This window comes from Homo sapiens, chromosome 10 (assembly GCF_000001405.40).
Source record: "Homo sapiens chromosome 10, GRCh38.p14 Primary Assembly".
In the NCBI taxonomy this organism is placed as follows: domain Eukaryota; kingdom Metazoa; phylum Chordata; class Mammalia; order Primates; family Hominidae; genus Homo; species Homo sapiens.
Genome location: NC_000010.11, coordinates 106,015,992 through 106,035,993, shown reverse-complemented (window position 1 = coordinate 106,035,993; position 20,002 = coordinate 106,015,992). Strand labels below are relative to the sequence as shown.

Genomic DNA, 20,002 nt, shown 5'->3' with positions numbered 1-20,002 from the left:
TTTATATATTTAGAAAAGAAGAATGCTCTAAATGTGTAATCTAAGCTTAAATCTGAAAAATGAGAAAACAATGAGGAAATTAAATCCAAAGTCAGGTGAATGAGAAATAAAAAAATTAGATCATAAATTAATGAAATCAATGACAGAAAATTCATAGAGAAAATCAATGAGACCAAAGGCTAGTTCTTTGAAGAAATAATAAGATTGAAAAACCTCTAGATAGGTAACAAATGAACAAAATGCCAATAAAACAAAAAAGAGAGAGCAGACACAAATTAATAACAGAAATTAAAGAGGGACCATTACTACTGATGCCATGGACATTATAAGGATAATAAAATAGTGTTCTGAGCAATTCTATGCCCAAAAATTTGATTTTCTAAATGAAATAGACCAAATTTTTGAAAGACACAATCTTCCAAAGCTCACACAAGGAGAAATATATAATTGGAATAACCCCATATCTATTAAATAAATTGAATCACTAATTATTACTCTTCCAAAACAAAATGTTTCAGGTTCAAGTGGGTTCACTGGTGAATTCTACCAAATATTAAAGGAAGAGATGATATCAATTCTTTACAATCTTCTCCAGAAAAACAAACAGAAATGTCACTTCCTTTAAGGCCAGCATTACCTTAATACTGAAATCAAAGACATTACAGGAAAAGAAAGTTATAGGCCAATATATCTTATAAACATAGATGCAAATATGATTTTTAAAAAAGTATTAGCAAAATAAGTATACACCATGACCAAGTGTGAATTATCTCAGTTATGCAAAGCTGGTTCAAGATTCCAATATTAATTAATATGGTCTACCACATCAGTGGGCTAAAGAAAAACAAATTACATTATCATATCAATAGATTCATTTAAAAAATGACAAAATCCAACGTTCATTCATGATAAAAACACCCAGCACACTAGAAATAAAAGAGAACTTCTTAAGCTTGATAGAGAACATCTACAAAAAAAAAAAAACCCTATATCTAAAATCATACTTAATGGTAACAACCTAGTTTTTTTCCTGCAAAGCACTAGACAAGGGTGCCCACACTTACCATTATACTGGAAGTCCTAGCTAATGCAATAAGACAAGAAAAAGAAATGGAAGTTTTACAGATAAGGAGGGAAAAATAGAATAAACTTTTTCTTAGATGCCATGCTTGTCTATGTGCAAAATTCCAAATCAACTAAAAAACCCTCTTAGAATTAGTAAGTAATCATAAGAAGTTTGCAGGATACAAGATTAATATATGGAAGTTAGTTGCTTTTCTTTGTACCAGCAATGAAATATTGAAATTTGAATTTTAAAACACCATACCATGTACATTACTTCTTCCCTCTAAAGAATATTTAGGTATAAATCAAAGAAAATACATGCAAGGTCTATATGAGGGTAATGACAAACCTCTTGTAAAATAAATCAAAGAAGATCTAAATAGAGATATACTTCATGTTCATAAATAAAAATACTCAATATTTCCAACATGTCAGTTCTTCCCAACTTTTGAGCTATATACTCATTATAATGTCAATAACATTGATAGTTATATCCCTTCTTTTACTCCTAATCTTATATTTATTTTCTGTACTTTAGAGTTTGTTTTCCACTGCATTGATTTTGGCTGTTACCTTTATTATTTTCTTCCATTTAATTTGTTCTACTTTCTCTTATCTTTTTAAAATTTCTTCTGCTCCTATCTCTCTCTCTCTGTCTCACCTTCTCTTTCTCTTCCATCTCCCTGTCTCTTTCTCTATCTCATTTTTCCTGGTGTTTCAAATTAAGTACTTTCCATTGATTATCTTCCAGTTCACTGTTTTCCACTCAGCTACGTTGAGTCTACTGAGGAAATTTTTATATCTGATATAATTACATATAAGTGTTGTATCTTTTATGAGTTATAATAATATATAATATACTGATGAGATTTTTATATCTGATATGATATATATATAATTTTCACTTTATTAGTTCCACTTCTATGATTAAATTATTCATGTCTCCATGCATGTTGTGTACTTTTTCCACTAGATCTTTAAAAATTGATCATGGTTATTTTAAAGTATCTGTCTGATAGTTTCAAATACATCATCTTCGAATCGAGCCCTTTTTATTGCATTTTGTAAATAGCTTTTTCTCTGTGTCTTTTAATTTTTTATTCAGTTTGATTCAATTCCAGACATTATAACTTTCTGTATAGTATATAGGAAACTGATATATAGTATTTATGTATAAAAATATACTTGTCTTTTCTCAGTCAATGAGTGTGGAAGATTGAATTAATCTTAACAGTAATTCAGCCAAGTTTTTTTGTTGCTCTGTTTACCTTTAGTTCACCACAAATTTCACATTTCTTCGATGATGCCTGGTGTTTATTATGGGGGTTCTGAATGCTGAAGAGTTTTTGCCAACATTTGTGCTCTGCCCTCACCTTTCAGCTATTACTATACATTTCTGCTGCAGAGGTAGTGTCTTTCTGTGATTCTGGCCATCTCTGAAAGCAAACATTGCTTGCTGCTTGATGCTTGCCAGAGTGATGATGAGAAACAGAGGCAATTTTGTCCTGGTCCAGCCTGGGTCTCAAGTATGCTCTGTTTTCCTGAGCTTTGGAAGTGGAATTCTCTCAGCATTCTTCTCACTTTATGCCCATGACAGAAAGCCAACTTCTGCCTTGTCTCTGCAGTGGATCTTGTCCAGGAGAGCTTATTATTTTCTCCTCCTCTCAGTGCTATAAAGACCTCAAATGATATTATTACAGGATTCTGGCTTAGTATATTTTCCTGTGATTTTAGTAAAAAAGTTAGAGTTTCCCATTGGTAATTGGTTCCCTTTTATACTACATGCTATTCAGATAAATCTTCATTCAGTTCTCTTTACTTTTAGGTCCTTTGGAAATCACATTAGGTGAAACTGTTCAGAAATATAAAGAGCCAAACAATTCAAATCAAACGCATATTTCTCTTGCTATATTATCATTGACAACCAGCATTTGCCTTTTATTTCTTCCTAGTTGTAGTTTTATAATATCTCTGAAATAAATTTTCTAGATCCTGGACATTCTTACATTTTCACTGGAGATTTACTTTACTTAATTGAATTCCACTCCATCTGACAATGGTTAATTATTAGAACAGTCATTGTGACAACCAAGTCCCTGGAGTATTACTGATGTTTTCCAAATCACATATGTGAGTGGCTTATTCTTTGTGTGGCAAAAGAGGTCAATCAGGCAAAAGAATGTAGGTCGATAGTTTAGAAATTATATATGAGAAAAAGAAATCTATACACAACTACAATTCAAGGTCTTCCTGTCCAGTGTGCTAGTCTAATCAATCATTCCTGTTGAATTCACATAGTATACTTATCTCTTGTGGTAAAGAGTTGAAAGCCAAGATTAATGAAGTCAATAGGGTAGCTTTTGCAGATGATGGTAACAAGATATCCTTGGAGAATCTTTTCAGTGTTATCTAAAGTCATCTAATAGATTGACATAAAAGTACTTAATTTTCTAATTTGGGTATAAATGTTAAAATTATATAAATCACCCAGACAAATTATGTCTAGTGTTATTTGTTCTTTAGTTAACTGATTCATTAATTTATACATAATTCATTTTTTTCTGACACCACTGTATTGGCCATAACAAATTCAATGGACTTTTTCCTGGCCATTTTTATAATCTTTCACTGCAATTTGTCCCATCTTGTTTGAAACAAAAATTTTAGATGACATTAAATTCTAAGATAGTGAGTAGGAAGTTACAATTATGATTAAGATACTTATGTTATTGTAATTTTGGCTGTTCTGATTTATTTAAAGAGTGTTGATAATAAGGATATCACCTTATAATCAATATGACTGCAATTTGAGAAATAAAAAGAAAAATTTAACTAAAACAAAACCTCTGTTTCTTCTCTTTCATATGCTTCTGCAAGACCAGCTGTAACATACATACAATATAAGAAAGAAAGTTATATAGATGATATTTTTAAAGCATTTTTTGGTACACCACAACCTGGGAGGGCAAAAGTTCAACTTCTAGCATGCATGGCATGTAAACTATACCATCTATCTTTCTACCCTCCAAACAGAAAGGGCCCTTTTAGAACTCTCTACCTACTTATATGCCACTTACATTCCCTGGAATATTCTTCCTATGGCTGCCCACTACTCAGCCTTAACGTCAGTATGACTGTCACTTTGTATTCCTGCCTTTTATTTTTTAGCAATACTAAATGTATTCTTCCAGTACATTATATATTCTACTGTGCTATAATTTTCTTTTTATATTTCTATTTTGTAGAAGTTTTACTTCCTATTTCTCCTCTACTAGATTGACTAGTAGAAGAGAACTATATTGTTATTTTTATATTCTCAGTGTTCTAGGATATTTTCTCATCTAATGTGTATTCACTGAGTAATAAATGGAAGGAATTACATATTTGATGATGGATTGACTAACTTAATAAATTAAAAAATGAATTTGCATTATTAATAATGAGTTGATTTAAAGAGAAAGTTGGACAAGATCAGCACAGTGACATTTCTGCTTGGGAATGAAAAGCTTACCATATATTGTGTTTTGGCAGTGACCCTATTACTTATCTGTAGAGTATTCTTTTAAAAAACTTAAGAAAAAGGAAAGGTATACACCAAAGACATTGTCATGTCCCCCATCCCAATGCAGAGACCATCTTTATTTTGTAAAGTTCACGTATTTTTATCATAATTGTGTTATTATTATTAAATAGCATATAATTAATACTATGTATTATGCTATGTGTTTTGAAGCAGTTAATTTTTATAGCAACTTATGATAAGAGTTCTATTAACCTGACAAGTGCTAAAGAGTTAATAAGTGTCAGAGCCCAGGTAACTCATGCTGGTGGTTCTTAAGTCTAGCTGCCTCTACTGATAACCTCATTGGAGTACTAGAGTGGCTTAGATTCAGAGATGCTGGCTCATGCTAACAAAACCAAAAACAAATCAACATGTCAAACCAGAGTGAAAGTTAGCTAATTTTCCATGAGATATGCAATATTCTGCATGAATCAACAATAATGTCAGCTTAACAAGGACTGTCCTCCTGTAAGCTAGTTACATAAAAGCCAAAGTAGTATCAAAAGTGTTCTTGGTGATCAAAATTAAATAAAGGAAAAATAGAGCTATAATATGCACTGTATAATTAATGGCATTGGATTCTAATGGGCTTGACAGGCAGTCCACCTAATAACTTCAGTCTGATAAGGGCATCCTCTCTCACTGGCCAGTTTGAATATTGCCAATGCTTTACTTTGTCACTCACTTCTATATTTATCCCTTCCATGATGATCTACTAGCCTTATGGTTGATACAGTCCTTCTTCTGCTATGATACTATCTTCAGTTTATTCTCACATTTTGTTGGCCAGGAATCTCCTTAAGGCAGTCAATCCTGAATATCTCTATTGTAAACAATTACAACATGACTTGGCATTTATCATAGTTACAAAATATTTTGAATGAAATATTAGGTTGGTGCAAAAGTAATTATGGTTTTTGCCATTTAAAAGTAATGGCAGAAACCACAATTACTTTCGTACCAACATAAATATTTTTGTTTAAAAATTAATTTTCACAAAAACCCTTGAGATAGGTACTTTTTGTTCATCCCTGTTTTACATAAAGGAAACAAAGTCTTGAAGAATTTGCATAACCTCCACACGAACATCAAGTATATAGAGGAGTCAGGATAAGAATCCGGCTCTCTCAGTTTTCAGAACCTGGGATCTTAACATTTATGTAATTACTAGTTGTTCTCATTACTTAACTCTCAGAGGGTAAGTTTATTATTTTTTCTATATTCCTAGGACATGTCATTGTCACCACTACATGGGTCTTACAGCAGCTATTATTGGCTCCTTTTAACAAATGAGGAAAGTGATGCCCAGGGAGATTAGGCGAATTGCACAAAGTCACATGGCCAGGAAGTGGCACAACAGCTTTTAGAATCCAGACTTTCTTGGCTTTAACTTCTTTGACCTTTTTACATTATCATTCTGCTGAAAAGTTTGCCTATCTACTCAAATTAACCAGGAAAATGGAGGTGATTTTAGACCACAGTTGGAAAGATGTTGTTTTCCAGTAGCTTGGTCATGTGCAGGGGTTACGCTATCCTAGGACGCTCAGCAATAGGTATTTTGACACCATGTGACCTGGATTTTTTACTCACCTTAGATACTGACATTTAAGCACTTAAAATCCTTCAGGAAAAAGTAAATCCTTCCAGAGAAATAAAGCAACAGTTTTTCATGTTAGTATTAAACAGAGCAGACTGGAAAAAAAAATCTATAAAACACCATACAATATGTAAATATACTGTTATATAGAAATATAACCAATATTGAAATAGAAAGAAGATACTCTTTAGTCCTTCCCATGGAATTCCACATTCCTCCGCACTCATGACAGATATCTATGGGGTTTTCCCTCTTCATAACATCATATACATGAATTAGGTTATGTTTCTTACAAGACCAAATTATTTACAACTAAATGTTCTCAAATATTTAAGATCCATAGATGATTTCATTGGTTGAAAAGTATAAACAAGCCTGTTTTCCTGCATTATTTTTTCACTGAGCTTTCAAATGACAAAATGTTTGAGAGAAAAGTCTTGCTACTTTGGACTGAACAGTGGAGTGGCAGGGGGAAAACACATTACTTAGAGAGTTAAGAGTCTTAATTTTCATTCTCATTAACAAGAGTGTATATAGCTAACAAAACTAACACCAACACAGTTACCAGCCACAGAACAGTTATATGTTTTTAAGTTCCATTTATATATCAGAGAGTTATCTTTCATCTTTACAGCAGGCACATAGGCAGTTGTCTTAGTTCAGGCTGCTATAAAAAAATACCATAAACTGGGTGACTTATAAACAACAGATATTTATTTCTCATAGTCCTGCAGGCTGGAAGTCTGAGATCAAAGTTCCAGCTTGGTCCAGTTCTGGTGAGGACCTTCTTCCAGATTTCAGACTGCTGACTTATCATTGCATTCTCACATGGCAGAAATAAATCAAAAGAGCTCTCTGGGTTCCTTTCTATAAGGGCCCTAACGTCATTCATGAAGACTTCACCCACATGACCTTATTATCCCTCAAAGGTGCCACCTCCTAATACTATCACCTTGTGAATCAGGATTCCAACAATGAATTTTGGAGGAACACAAACATTCAGTCCATTGCAGGAGCTATTTTAGTTCCATTTGTAAGGTGAGGAGGGAAAAAAAAGACTGACCCATAATCTTGAGTAACTTTCTCAAAATCATAGTTAGTGTATCAAGCATGGTTCCACTAGGAAAACAAAAACAGGTTACTCAACACAAGGAGTGGATCACACAGGTAGCAAAAAGACAGAAAGAAGGCAATGAATCAGCCCAGAGATTCAGGGCATCAGGAAGCTACCCTAGATTGGAGGGATGAAAGAAGGAGGCAGTGTCATACTCAAGTAACTGAGTGGAGGCTGTAAAATGCAGAAAGCTTGACTGTCAGAAGCTGGAGCCAAATGGGTGCAGCTGCTGTTTGACATGTTGTCAAAAGTGAAGTGTGGGGAGTATTTACTTTTGCTCTTAGGGAAAGTAGACCGAACAGTACATGGGCTGATTATGATTTTGATTAGCTTTAAGTATGCTCTTTCCAGGTCATCATGCTAGTTTTATGTAGTGTCAAAGCACTTGCAATATGATTTGGGGCAAATAACTTAAGTCTTTGGGCCTTTAGTTCTTTGTTTTGAAGAACTTTTGTGAACCTAATTGGTGACAGTACTGGTCTAGGACTCAGATCTCCTGAAATTGTCAGTGTAGGGTCTTCTTGCTGCATTTATCTATCCAGCTTTATAACCTTTAGATGAATAAGGTTTTGTATTTTAATTGAAATAATTTTCTTCCCATTGCGTTAGTTTTCTGATTGAACAGTATCAACTATTGGATGGTAGATTTGAGCAAAATGTGGAAAAAACTCAACTACAAGTTGAGAGTTGAAGGTTTTATAATGGCTTGTTCATCTTAACAGTCTGCTGGGTCTGTTCAGTCAGAGATATATCCCCAAGTAAAATGCCTGTGTCATTAGGATCACATTTACCAGGGACTGAGCTTAAGAAGTAGTGTGGTGACAGCCCAGCTCATTGATATGGTTGGCTGTGTCTTCACCCAAATCTCATCTTGAATTGTAGCTCCCATAATTCCCATCAGTTGTGGGAGGGACCCCAGGAAAGATAACAGAACCACTGGGGTGGTTTCCCCCTTACTGTTCACATGGTAGTGAATAAGTCTCATGAAATCTGATGGTTTTATCAGGGAAAATCCTTTTTGCTTGGTTCTCATTCTTTCTTGCCACCACCATATAAGAAGTACCTTTTGCCTTCAGGCACGATTGTGAGGCCTCCCCAGCCATGTAGAACTGTAAGACCATTAAACCTCCTTTTCTTTATAAATTACCCAGTCTTGGGTATGTTTTTATCAGCAGTGTGAGAATGGACTAATGCACTCATGAAAGTGATAAAGGCCATGAGAACTTTGGTAACTGGGCAAGCAATCAAAACATAAAGTAGTATTCTAGGACAAGCAAGAGCTAGGTAATCTGCTAGAAATTCTTTCAAATTCTTTCCAAAAAATTTGTTGAATTATAGCTAATCAGCAACTTTAGGAGTGTCATTCATGGGCAGGCAGAATCCAGGCATGTTTTACTTTTTACAAGAATCAAAGAGGAACCAACAGTAGATGACTGTCTGCCAGCACTGGCTCAAAAGAAACCCTTGATCACTAAGTCAATTTGAATACCAGGGAACAGGGGAATTAGGAGATTAGAGAACCAATCTAATCCTAATCTTTACTCTGCACCATTTCTTCACTATGGGGAGATGACCAGCAACAGCTTTTTGACAAGAGACTTGCTGAAAATGTAACCATGGCAAGCAGAGTTGCACAAACTAGACAACAGAAAATTGATATCAAGGAGGAGAATATCAATTGCAAGGCTATCCATTCCAATCTGAATCCACAGACACCTTCCTTTTACAAGCACACTGGGAAAACCAACTGTCTCAAAGAGCATATCAGACTAAGCCCCAGAATATTTTTCTCCTCTTGGGGAAGAAAATGGGATATGGAATTAGGAGAACTCAGAGGGAGAGAAGAAAATTACACAATTTAATCATCTTTGGTAAGTTATTAATGCATCAGTACATAGAAAAGATAGGGCATTGATGAGAAATGATAATATCAAAAGATATAAGGATGAACAATGTGCTGAATTCATTTGAAGGTCTATCAGCAATATACATCGTCATTGATGCATATCTAATAAAGAATATATAAAGTAGTCTTGATAATTAACTACAAAGTTTTACCATAATAACATAATGCCTCATTATGTGACTCCCATTTTTCTCTGGATTTGTAGTTAGAAAGATCTGACCTAAGGCAATTTGGAGACTTTTACTCTATAGTAGGTAGAGGAGTGTGAAGTGGCTATTTCTTCTAGCATCTTTACATGGATATGGCCAAAGATTCTGCACTTAACTATGGGGTTTAGTTTTCTTTATAGGGTCTGAAATTGGCTGTATACTTTCTCTTCTTTTGCTAAAAGGGCAATTAGACTAAAAGATAACTAGCTCTTGAGAACAGCGTTAATATCAATGTACTTTATAGGCCATTTACTCCCTATAACTCTCTTTCCAATTTTTATTTGATACCAGATGCATAAACTATGAACAGCTTGTTTGGAATTCTTAGAGCTAAGGGAATTGAGGAAACTATTGGTAAAAAGTATTATTTAAGGTAGAAAAAAGTCACTGATTAAAGGGAAGACTTGTTAATATCATGTCAAAATAAGTCAATTCCACTAAACATTTTGGCTCTACATTTTAATTAGAAAGGCTGCTTATCTAGAAGTGTATAGACTTTTGAAATCAATGTTTTTTATGTCCTGGATTTTCTAAGATATTAAACAATTCTATTTCCAGAAAGTTAGAACCCTAAAGGACCTTGGGAATTCAGTTCTGTTCCATCATTTTCTGATAAGGAGAAGGAAGGATGCTCCTCCAAACTTGTTTAACAATTAAGAGTCAAAACAATGTCCATATGCCTATGAGCTTTGAAATGTTGTTCCAGCAGAAATTTCATTACTGATAGTGCCTACAATTTTCAGAAAGACTAATAGGAAAGAATAGAAACCAGTAAATTCCACTAGAATACAAAAAAAATTGGACAGGCCTTATGGAGAGGTTAGTGATGACTCAGACAGATGGTACACAGAAATAATAATTGGTCAGTCAGAATGAACAAGGAATTGCCATATTCTGCCTCCCTCTGTCTACTGGGATACTGCCTGTTTGCCTTCATGTTCTTTCAGCTATGACCTCAAACTTCTCTCTCTGATCTCCAGTGTTCCTAATGACTGACTTTCCAGACCCAATTTGTATAATCCTAAGCCCAGATCCCTTCAGTTGATAGTTTGGTCAAGGTAAAAAAAAAAAAAAAAATTTGAAAAAAAAAAAAAAAAAACAACCCTGTTAATATTTAACTAATTCCTAGGATTAACAGGCAGTTACTGTCCTACAGTCAATTGTCCTCTTCCTAGGCTAATCAAACTCTTCACACTTATGCATGGCCTGTGAAGAATTATGTAATATACAGTTGTCCCTTAAACAACACAGAAATTAGCAGGGACTGACTTCTCTGTATTTTTTAATCCATATATAGCTTTTGACTCCCCAGGAATTTAAGTACTAATAGCCTAGAGTTGGTTGGAAGCCTTACCAATAACATGAACAGCCAGTTAACACATATTGTACATGTTATATATATTATATATAGTAGTTTTATAATAAAGTAGGCTAGAGAAAAAAATGTTAAGAAAGTCACAAGGAAGAGAAAATGTATTTACTATTTATTAAGTGGAAATGGATCATCGTAAAGGACTTCACCTGTGGTCTCCATGTTGAGTAGACTGAGGAGGAGGAGGAAATGGAGGGGTTAGTCTTGCTATCTCAGGGCTGGCAGAGGTGGAAGAAAATCTGAGTGTAAGTAGACCTTTGCAATTCAAACCCATGTTTTTCAAGGGTCAGTTGTACTTAGCTTCTCTCTGAAACTTACCTTGAAAGAAGAATTTCTTTTTGTAGGCAAAAAACAGAGTTGGGATTTGGAAATGCTGAATGTCCAGAATAATGTTCAACGCCTGGTCCATTCTAATCCTAAATAGGCAACAGTCAGATGAACTGCGTAGCTCCATTCATTATCCTGCCTGCTGAGCCTCAGCAATCCCAGATTGATTGGTATCTAACAAATAAAGATCCTCTCTTCCTTTCTGATAACAGCTAACTATTATGTTTATACTTCCAAATGGAAATGATATTTCAGCTAGCCAAACGTGAAGTTTACCCCAAAGCAAACAGGCAGTTAGCTAGGCAATTGCTTCATTTTCAAAAGTTCTACATTAAATTCAAATGTTATTCGAGGTTCACTGCCATTCAGATTGACATTTAGAAAGAAAATATGCATTCTTTCCTAACCTTTAGAAACAACATAGGATTTAGACATTTCAATCTTGTTTCGTTCTCCTTTACTTGTGTTTCTTATCCATTTATTCAGTTCCCAAACAATTATTTCTTAACCTTTGATAGAAAGTGATGAGCTGCTCTGAGAACAGCAACTATTAGAGACACTTCAGTATTGCAATACAGCTGCTGAGAACACTTTATCTCATTTTCTCTGTGATTTTATTTAGCCTAGGTTTTGAAAATCAATTAAAATGGAGAACAAAATAATATGTTTATTTTTCCTTTGGAGGGCAAGGTTCAACCTTCTCTTAAACCAAACAGAAATAGTTTCTATCTGAGTAAAGAAAAATAAAGCTAAGATTTTTAACATGTGTATTATCGAATCACTCTCCCCAGACTTTAACCAAGGATAAAATCAGAGCTGCTTCTTTTACTTGAAATGTTAAGAGTTGGACATAATATTTTCCAAGCAAAAAGGTAAGGCCACAAAATTAATGGTGGAGAACGTTCACCAAGCATTTCTTCCAGAATGAACATGGAGCACTATGGGGTCAGGAGTCAGGCCTCATGTGAAGTTCATTCATGGATTATTCATGCACAAGAAAGAACATTGAAATTTGATGGCCAAGGAAATTAAAAAGAGAAAGGAGCATTTGCTCTTTAAGAGCTAGTTATAAGATACTTGTGCAACTACAGAGCTGAGGCAGACATGTGTATTGACCAAAAATCGTTTTAAAATGATTTTAAAGCATAAAGGCATATGATTTAAAGGCACAATTTTAAGTTGCAGAGTAGATTGATGTGAAAGTTCTCCAGAGGTTATCCTATAGACCAATTTCTCTGACCACATTTATGAACAGAAAGTAGCTATATTGACACAATGTTTGAATAGAAAGCAGAAGTTTGGGGAACCTAAGTTATGAGCCTTATCCTGTCATTCACTGAGTGTGAGCCCTTGAGCCCTTGCGAAAATAATACATTTAAAATGTGGTTACACCTAATCCTTCATAGAATCAGCAAGATGGCTGGATCTAGTTACCTAGTGCTTGCCCTATCCTCACAAAAGCGGACAGAAACAAAAAATAATTATATTTTGAGTAGAGTGACTGCAGAAGTACACTGAAGAACACCATGGAAGCAGCAAAATTCATGTGAGTTGTGGCAGTTCAGGATAGCACCATAGTTCGGGTATCTAGGTGTTGTTCTGTCTCTGCTATACAGTCTTGTTGGTAGGGACTGACTTGGATTCGGGGGGGACTTCTTTATACAAGGCAAAGGTAATCTGGATATTCCAAGTGGTTTCCACTTCCACCACAAACACCAGCAATTGTGGCTGCAAGAGGATCCCTGTCGGGCCTCTGAGCCCAAGCTAAGCCATCGCATCCCCTGTGACCTGCACATATATGCCCAGATGGCCTGAAGTAACTGAAGAATCACAAAAGAAGTGAAAATGGCCTGTTCCTTGCCTTAACTGATGACATTCCACCACAAAAGAAGTGAAAATGGCCAGTCCTTGCCTTAAGTGATGACATTATCTTGTGAAATTCCTTCTCCTGGCTCATCCTGGCTCAAAAGCTCCCCTACTGAGCACCTTGTGACCCCCACACCTGCCCACCAGAGAACAACCCCCCTTTGACTGTAATTTTGCTTTACCTACCCAAATCTTATAAAACGGCCCTACCTTTATCTCCCTTCGCTGACTCTCTTTTCGGACTCAGCCCGCCTGCACCCAGATGATTAAAAAGCTTTATTGCTCACACAAAGCCTGTTTGGTGGTCTCTTCACAGGGACACGAGTGAAATATGGTGTCGTGACTTGGATCGGGGGACCTCCCTTGGGAGATCAATCCCGTCCTCCCGCTCTTTGCTCCGTGAGAAAGATCCACCTACGACCTCAGGTCCTCAGACCAACCAGCCCAAGGAACATCTCACCAATTTTAAATCCAGTAAGCGGCCTCTTTTTACTCTCTTCTCCAACCTTTCTCACTATCCTTCAACCACTTTCTCCTTTCAATCTTGGTGCCACACTTCAATTTCTCCCTTCTCTTAATTTCAGTTCCTTTCCTTTTCTGGTAGAGATGAAGGAGACGTGTTTTATGCGTGGACCCAAAACTCCAGCGCTGGTCACAGACTCAGGAAGACAGTCTTCCCTTAGTGTTTAATCACGTGGGGCGCCTGCCTGATTACTCACCCACGTTTCAGAGGTGTCTGACCACGTGGGGATGCCTGCCTTGGTCCTTCACCCTTAGCGGCAAGTACCGCTTTTCTGGGGGATAAGAACCCCCCACCCCCACCCCTTTTCTCTATGTCTCTACTCTCTCTTTTTTCTGGGCTTACCTCCTTCACTATGGGCAACCTTCCAGCCTCCATTCCTCCCTCTTCTCCCTTAGCCTGTGTTCTCAAGAACTTAAAACCTCTTCAACTCATACCTGACCTAAACACCTTATTTTCTTCTGCAACACCGCTTGGCCCCAATACAAACTTGACAATGGCTCTAAATGGCCAGAAAATGGCACTTCCAATTTCTCCATCCTACAAGACCTAAATAATTTTTGTTGAAAAATGGGCAAATGGTCTGAGGTGCCTTACATCCAGGCATTTTTCACACTTCGTTCTCTCCCTAGTCCCTGTTCCCAACGCGATTCCTTCCAAATCCACCTTCTTTCCCTCCTGCCTGTCCCCAGTCCCAACCCCAAGTGTCACTGAGTCTTTCCAGTTTTCCTTTTCTACAGACCCATCTGACTTCTCCCCTCCTCCCCAGGCTGCTGGTCGCCAGGCCGAGCTAAGTCCCAATTCTTCCTCAGCCTCCGTTCCTCCACCCTATAATCCTTCTATCACCTCCCCTCCTCACACCGGGTCCGGCTTACAGTTTAGTTCCACAACTAGCTCTTCCCCACCTGCGCAACAATTTCCTCTTAGAGAAGTGGCTGGAGCTGAAGGCAAAGTCAGGGTACATGTACCTTTTTCTCTATCAGAACTCTTTCAAATCAGTTAGTGTTTAGGCTCTTTTTCATCAAATATGAAAAACCCAGCCCAGTTCATGGCTCATTTGGCAGCAACCCTGAGACGCTTTACAGCCCTAGACCCTAAAAGGTCAAAAGGCCGTCTTATTCTCAATATACATTTTATTACCCAATCCGCTCCCGACTTTAAATAAAGCTCCAAAATATAAATTCCAGCCCTCAAACCCCACAGCAAGACTTAATTAACATTGCCTTCAAGGTGTACAATAATAGAAAAAAGTTGCAATTCCTTACCTCCAGTGTGAGACAAACTCCAGCCACATCTCCAGCACACAAGAACTTCCAAACGCCTGAACCGCAGCTGCCAGGCATTCCTCCAGAACCTCCTCCCCCAGGAGCTTGCTACAAGCGCCAGAAATCTGGCCACCAGGCCAAGGAATGTCCGCAGCCTGGGATTCCTCCTAAGCCGCGTCCCATCTGTGAAGGACCCCCACTGAAAATTGGACTGTTCAACTCACCTGGCAGCCACTCCCAGAGCCCCTGGAACTCTGGCCCAAGGCTCTCTGACTCCTTCCCAGATCTTCTCGGCTTAGCGGCTGAAGGCTGACACTGCAAGATCGCCTCGGAAGCTCCCTAAACCATCACAGACGCCGAGCTTCTGGTAACTCTCACAGTGGAATGTAAGTCTGTCCCCTTCTTAATCAATACGGAGGCTACCCACTCCACATTACCTTCTTTTCAAGGGCCTGTTTCCCCCTTGCCTCCATAATTGTTGTGGGTATTGACGGCCAGGCTTCTAAACCTCTTAAAACTCCCCAACTCTGGTGCCAACTTAGACAATAGTCTTTTAAGCACTCCTTTTTAGTTATCCCCACCTGCCTTTATTAGGCCCTTATTAGGCCGAGACGCTTTAACTAAATTATCTGCTTCCCTGACTATTCCTGGGCTACAGCCACTCCTCATTGCCGCCTTTTCCTCCAGTTCAAAGCCTCCTTCACATCCTCCCCTTGTATCTCCCCACCTTAACCCACAAGTATAAGACACCTCTACTCCCTCCTTAGTGACTGATCATGCACCCCTTACCATCCCATTAAAACCTAATCACTCTTACCCTGCTCAATGCCAATATCCCATCCCACAGGTTGCCTTAAAGGGATTAAAGTCTGTTATCACTTGCCTGCTACAGCATGGTCTTTAAAGGCTATAAACTCCCCTTACAATTCCCCCATTTTACCTGTCCTAAAACCAGACAAGGCTTACAGATTAGTTCAGGATCTGCACCTTATGAACCAAATTGTTTTGCCTATCTACCCTGTGGTGCCAAACTCATATACTCTCCTATCCTCAATACCTCCCTCTGCACACCATTATTCTGCTCTAGATCTCAAACATGCTTTCTTTACTATTCCTTTGCACCCTTCATCCCAGCCTCTGTTCACTTTCACCTGGACTGACCCTGACACCCACCAGGTTCAGCAAATTACCTAGGCAAGGCTTCAGAGACAGCCCCCATTACTTCAGTCAAGCCCAAATTTCTTCATCTGTTACCTATCTCGGCATAATTCTCATAAAAACACACGTGCTCTCCCTGCTGATCGTGTCTGGCTAATCTCCCAAACCCCAATCCCTCCTACAAAACAACAACTCCTTTCCTTCCTAGGCATGGTTAGTGCGGTCAGAATTCTTACACAAGAGCCGGGACTGCATCCTGTAGCCTTTCTGTCCAAACTACTGGACCTTACTCTTTTAGCCTAGCCCTCATGTCTGCCTGCAGCAGCTGCCGCTGCCTTAATACTTTTAAAGGCCCTAAAAATCACAAACTGCTCAACTCACTCTCTACAGTTCTCATAACTTCCAAAATCTATTTTCTTCCTCACACCTGACACATATACTTTCTGCTCCCCAGCTCCTTCAGCTGTACTCACTCTTTGTTGAGTCTCCCACAATTATCATTGTTTCTGGCCCAGACTTCAATCGGGCCTCCCACAGTATTCTGGATACCACACCTGACCCCCATGACTGTATCTCTCTGATCCACCTGACATTCACCCCATTTCCCCATATTTCCTTCTTTCCTGTTCCTCACCCTGAGCACACTTGGTTTATTGATACTAGTTCCACCAGGCCTAATTGCCACACACCAGCAAAGGCAGGCTATGCTATAGTACAAGCCACCAGCCCGCCTCTTAGAACCTCTCATTTCCTTTCCATCATGGAAATCTATCCTCAAGGAAATAGCTTCTCAGTGTTCCATCTGCTATTCTACCACTCCTCAGGGATTATTCAGGCCCCCTCCCTTCCCTACACATCAAGCTGGAGGATTTGCCCTCGCCCAGGACTGGCAACTCTTAACTCCCTCTTAGAGTGGATAGATGATCTTTGCTGGCAGGGGACCCTCCAATACTTTCACCCTGATGAAGTTCTTTTGTTTACTTTTATACTCACTGTTATTCTCATTCCCATTCTTATGCCACCCTCTACCTCTCCCCAGCTATCTCCACCACACTGTCAACTTTACTCAATCTCTCCTAGCCGTTTCTAATCCCTTCTTAGCAAACTGCTGGCTTTGCATTTCCCTTTCTTCCAGTGCCTACACAGCTGTCCCCACCTTACATGCAGACTAGGCAACATCTCCTGTCTCCCTACATCTCCAAACTTCCTTTAACAGCCCTCATTTTACCCTCCTGAAGAACTCATTTACTTTCTAGACAGGTCCAGCAAGACCTCTCCAGACATTTCACATCAGCAAGCTGCCGCCCTCCTCCGCACTTACTTAAAAAGCCTTTCTCCTTATATCAACCCTACTCTCCTCATATTTGGACCTCTCACAACACAAACTACTATTCCTATGGCTGCTCCTGTATGTATCTCTCGGCAAAGACCCACTGGAATTCCCCTAGGTAACCTTTCACCTTCTCGATGTTCCTTTACTCTTCATCTCCAAAGCCCAACTACACACATCACTGAAACAATTGGAGCCTTCCAGCTCCATATTACAGACAAGCCGTCTATCAATACTGGCAAACTTAAAAACATTAGCAGTAATTATTGCTTAAGAAGACACTTACCCTGTATTTCACTCCATCCTTGGCTACCTTCCCCTTGCTCATCAGACTCTCCTCCCAGACCCTCTTCTTGTTTACTTATACCCAGCCCCGAAAATAACAGTGAAAGGTTGCTCATAGATACTCAACGTTTTCTCATACACCATGAAAATCGAACCTCCTCCTCTACGCAGTTACCCCATCTGTCCCCATTACAACCTCTGATGGCTGCCGCCCTAACTGGATCCCTAGAAGTCTGGGTAAAAGACACCCCTTTCAGCACTCCCTCTCATCTTTTTACTTTGCATCTCCAGTTTTGCCTCGCACAAGGCCTCTTCTTCCTCTGTGGATCCTCTACCTACATGTGTCTACCTGTTAATTGGACAGGCACATGCACACTAGTTTTCCTTACTCCCAAAATTCAATTTGCAAATGGGACTAAAGAGCTCCCTGTTCTCCTCATGACACCGACACGACAAAGAAGAGTTTTTCCACTAATTCCCTTGCTTGTCAGTTTAGGACTTTCTGCCTCTACTATTGTTCTCAGTACTGGAATAGCAGGCATTTCAACCTGTTATGACCTTCCATAGCCTCTCTAATGACTTCTCTGCTAGCATCACAGACATATGACAAACTTTATCAGTCCTCCAGGCCCAAGTTGACTCTTTAGCTGCAGTTGTCCCCCAAAACCGCTGAGGCCCTGACTTACTCACTGCTGAAAAAGGAGGACTCTGTGTATTCTTAAATGAAGAGTGTTGTTTTTACCTAAATCAATCTGGCCTGGTGTATAACAACATAAAAAAACTCAAGGATAGAGCCCAAAAACTTGCCAACCAAGCAAGTAATTACATTGAACCCGCTTGGGCACTCTCTAATTGGATGTCCTGGGTCCTCCCAATTCTTAGTCCTTTAATACCTATTTTTCTCCTTCTTTTATTTGGACCTTGTATCTTGCGTTTAGTTTCTCAATTCATCCAAAACCGTACCCCGGCCATTATCAATCATTCTATACGAGAAATGTTTCTTCTAACAACCCCACAACATCAACCCTTACCACAAAATCTTCCTTCAACTTAATCTCTCCCACTCTAGGTTCCCACACCGCCCCTAATCCCGCTCGAAGCGGCCCTGAGAAACATCGGCCATTATCTTTCCATGCCACCCCCCCCCAAAAAAAAAATTTTTTTTCGCTACCCCAACACTTCAATACTATTTTATGTTGTTTTTCTTATTAATATAAGAAGGCAGGAATGTCAGGCCTCTGAGCCCAAGCTAAGCCATCGCATCCCCTGTGACCTGCATATATATGCCCAGATGGCCTGAAGTAACTGAAGAATCACAAAAGAAGTGAAAATGGCCTGTTCCTTGCCTTAACTGATGACATTCCACCACAAAAGAAGTAAAAATGGCCGGTCCTTGCCTTAAGTGATGACATTATCTTGTGAAATTCCTTCTCCTGGCTCATCCTGGCTCAAAAGCTCCCCTACTGAGCACCTTGTGACCCCACTCCTGCCCACCAGAGAACAACCCCCCTTTGACTGTAATTTTGCTTTACCTACCCAAATCTTATAAAACAGCCCTACCCTTATCTCCCTTCACTGACTCTCTTTTCGGACTCAGCCCGCCTGCACCCAGGTGATTAAAAAGCTTTATTGCTCACACAAATCCTGTTTGGTGGTCTCTTCACATGGATGTGAGTGAAAATCCCCCAGTTTACACAGGCCCCAAGTCCAGTTTAGAAAGTAGGCAGGCATTTGCACAGCCACATTGTCTCAGAGTAAGACCACACATTGAGTACTTGATATCCTTTGGCTGTGTCCCCACCCATTTCTCATCTTCAACTGTAGTTCCCATAACCCCTATGTTTATGGGCAAGACCGGGTGGGAAGTAATTGAATCATGGGGGTGGTTTCCCTCCATGTTGTTCTCATGAAAGTGAATAAGTTCTCTTGAGATCTGATGGTTTTAAAAGGGATTTCCACCCCCCAACATCCCCCCCACTGCTCTGCACTTCTTTCTCCTGTGAAGAAGGACATGTTTGCTTCCCCTTCTGCCATGATTGTAAGTTTCCTGAGGCCTCTCCATCAATGTACAACTGTGAGTCAATTAAACATCTTTCCTTTATAAATTGACCAGTCTCAGGCAGTTCTTTATAGCAACGTGAAAATGGACTAATACAGCAAATTATTACTAGGGTAGTGGGGCGCTGCTATAAAGATACCTGAAAATGTGGAAGCAACTTTGGAACTGGGTAATAGGCAGAAGCTGGAACAGTTTGGAGGGCTCAGAAGAAGACAGGAAAATATGGGAAAGTTTGGAACTTCCTAGAGATTTGTTGAATGTCTTTGACCAAAATGCTGATAGTGATGTGGACAATGAAGTCCAGGCTGAGGTCGTCTCAGTGGAGATGGGGAACTCACTGGGAAATGGAGTAAAGGTCACTCTTGCT

At 38.8% G+C, this 20,002-nt stretch overlaps 1 annotated feature.

The window, feature by feature from the left end:
* Window positions 12,803–13,313: an enhancer, noted in NCBI's record as "NANOG hESC enhancer chr10:107782439-107782949 (GRCh37/hg19 assembly coordinates)". NCBI's record gives its function as "activates a minimal SCP1, AML or CMV promoter by ChIP-STARR-seq in naive H9 embryonic stem cells {active_cell/tissue: H9 hESC(naive)}" and the evidence as "EXISTENCE:reporter gene assay evidence [ECO:0000049][PMID:30033119]".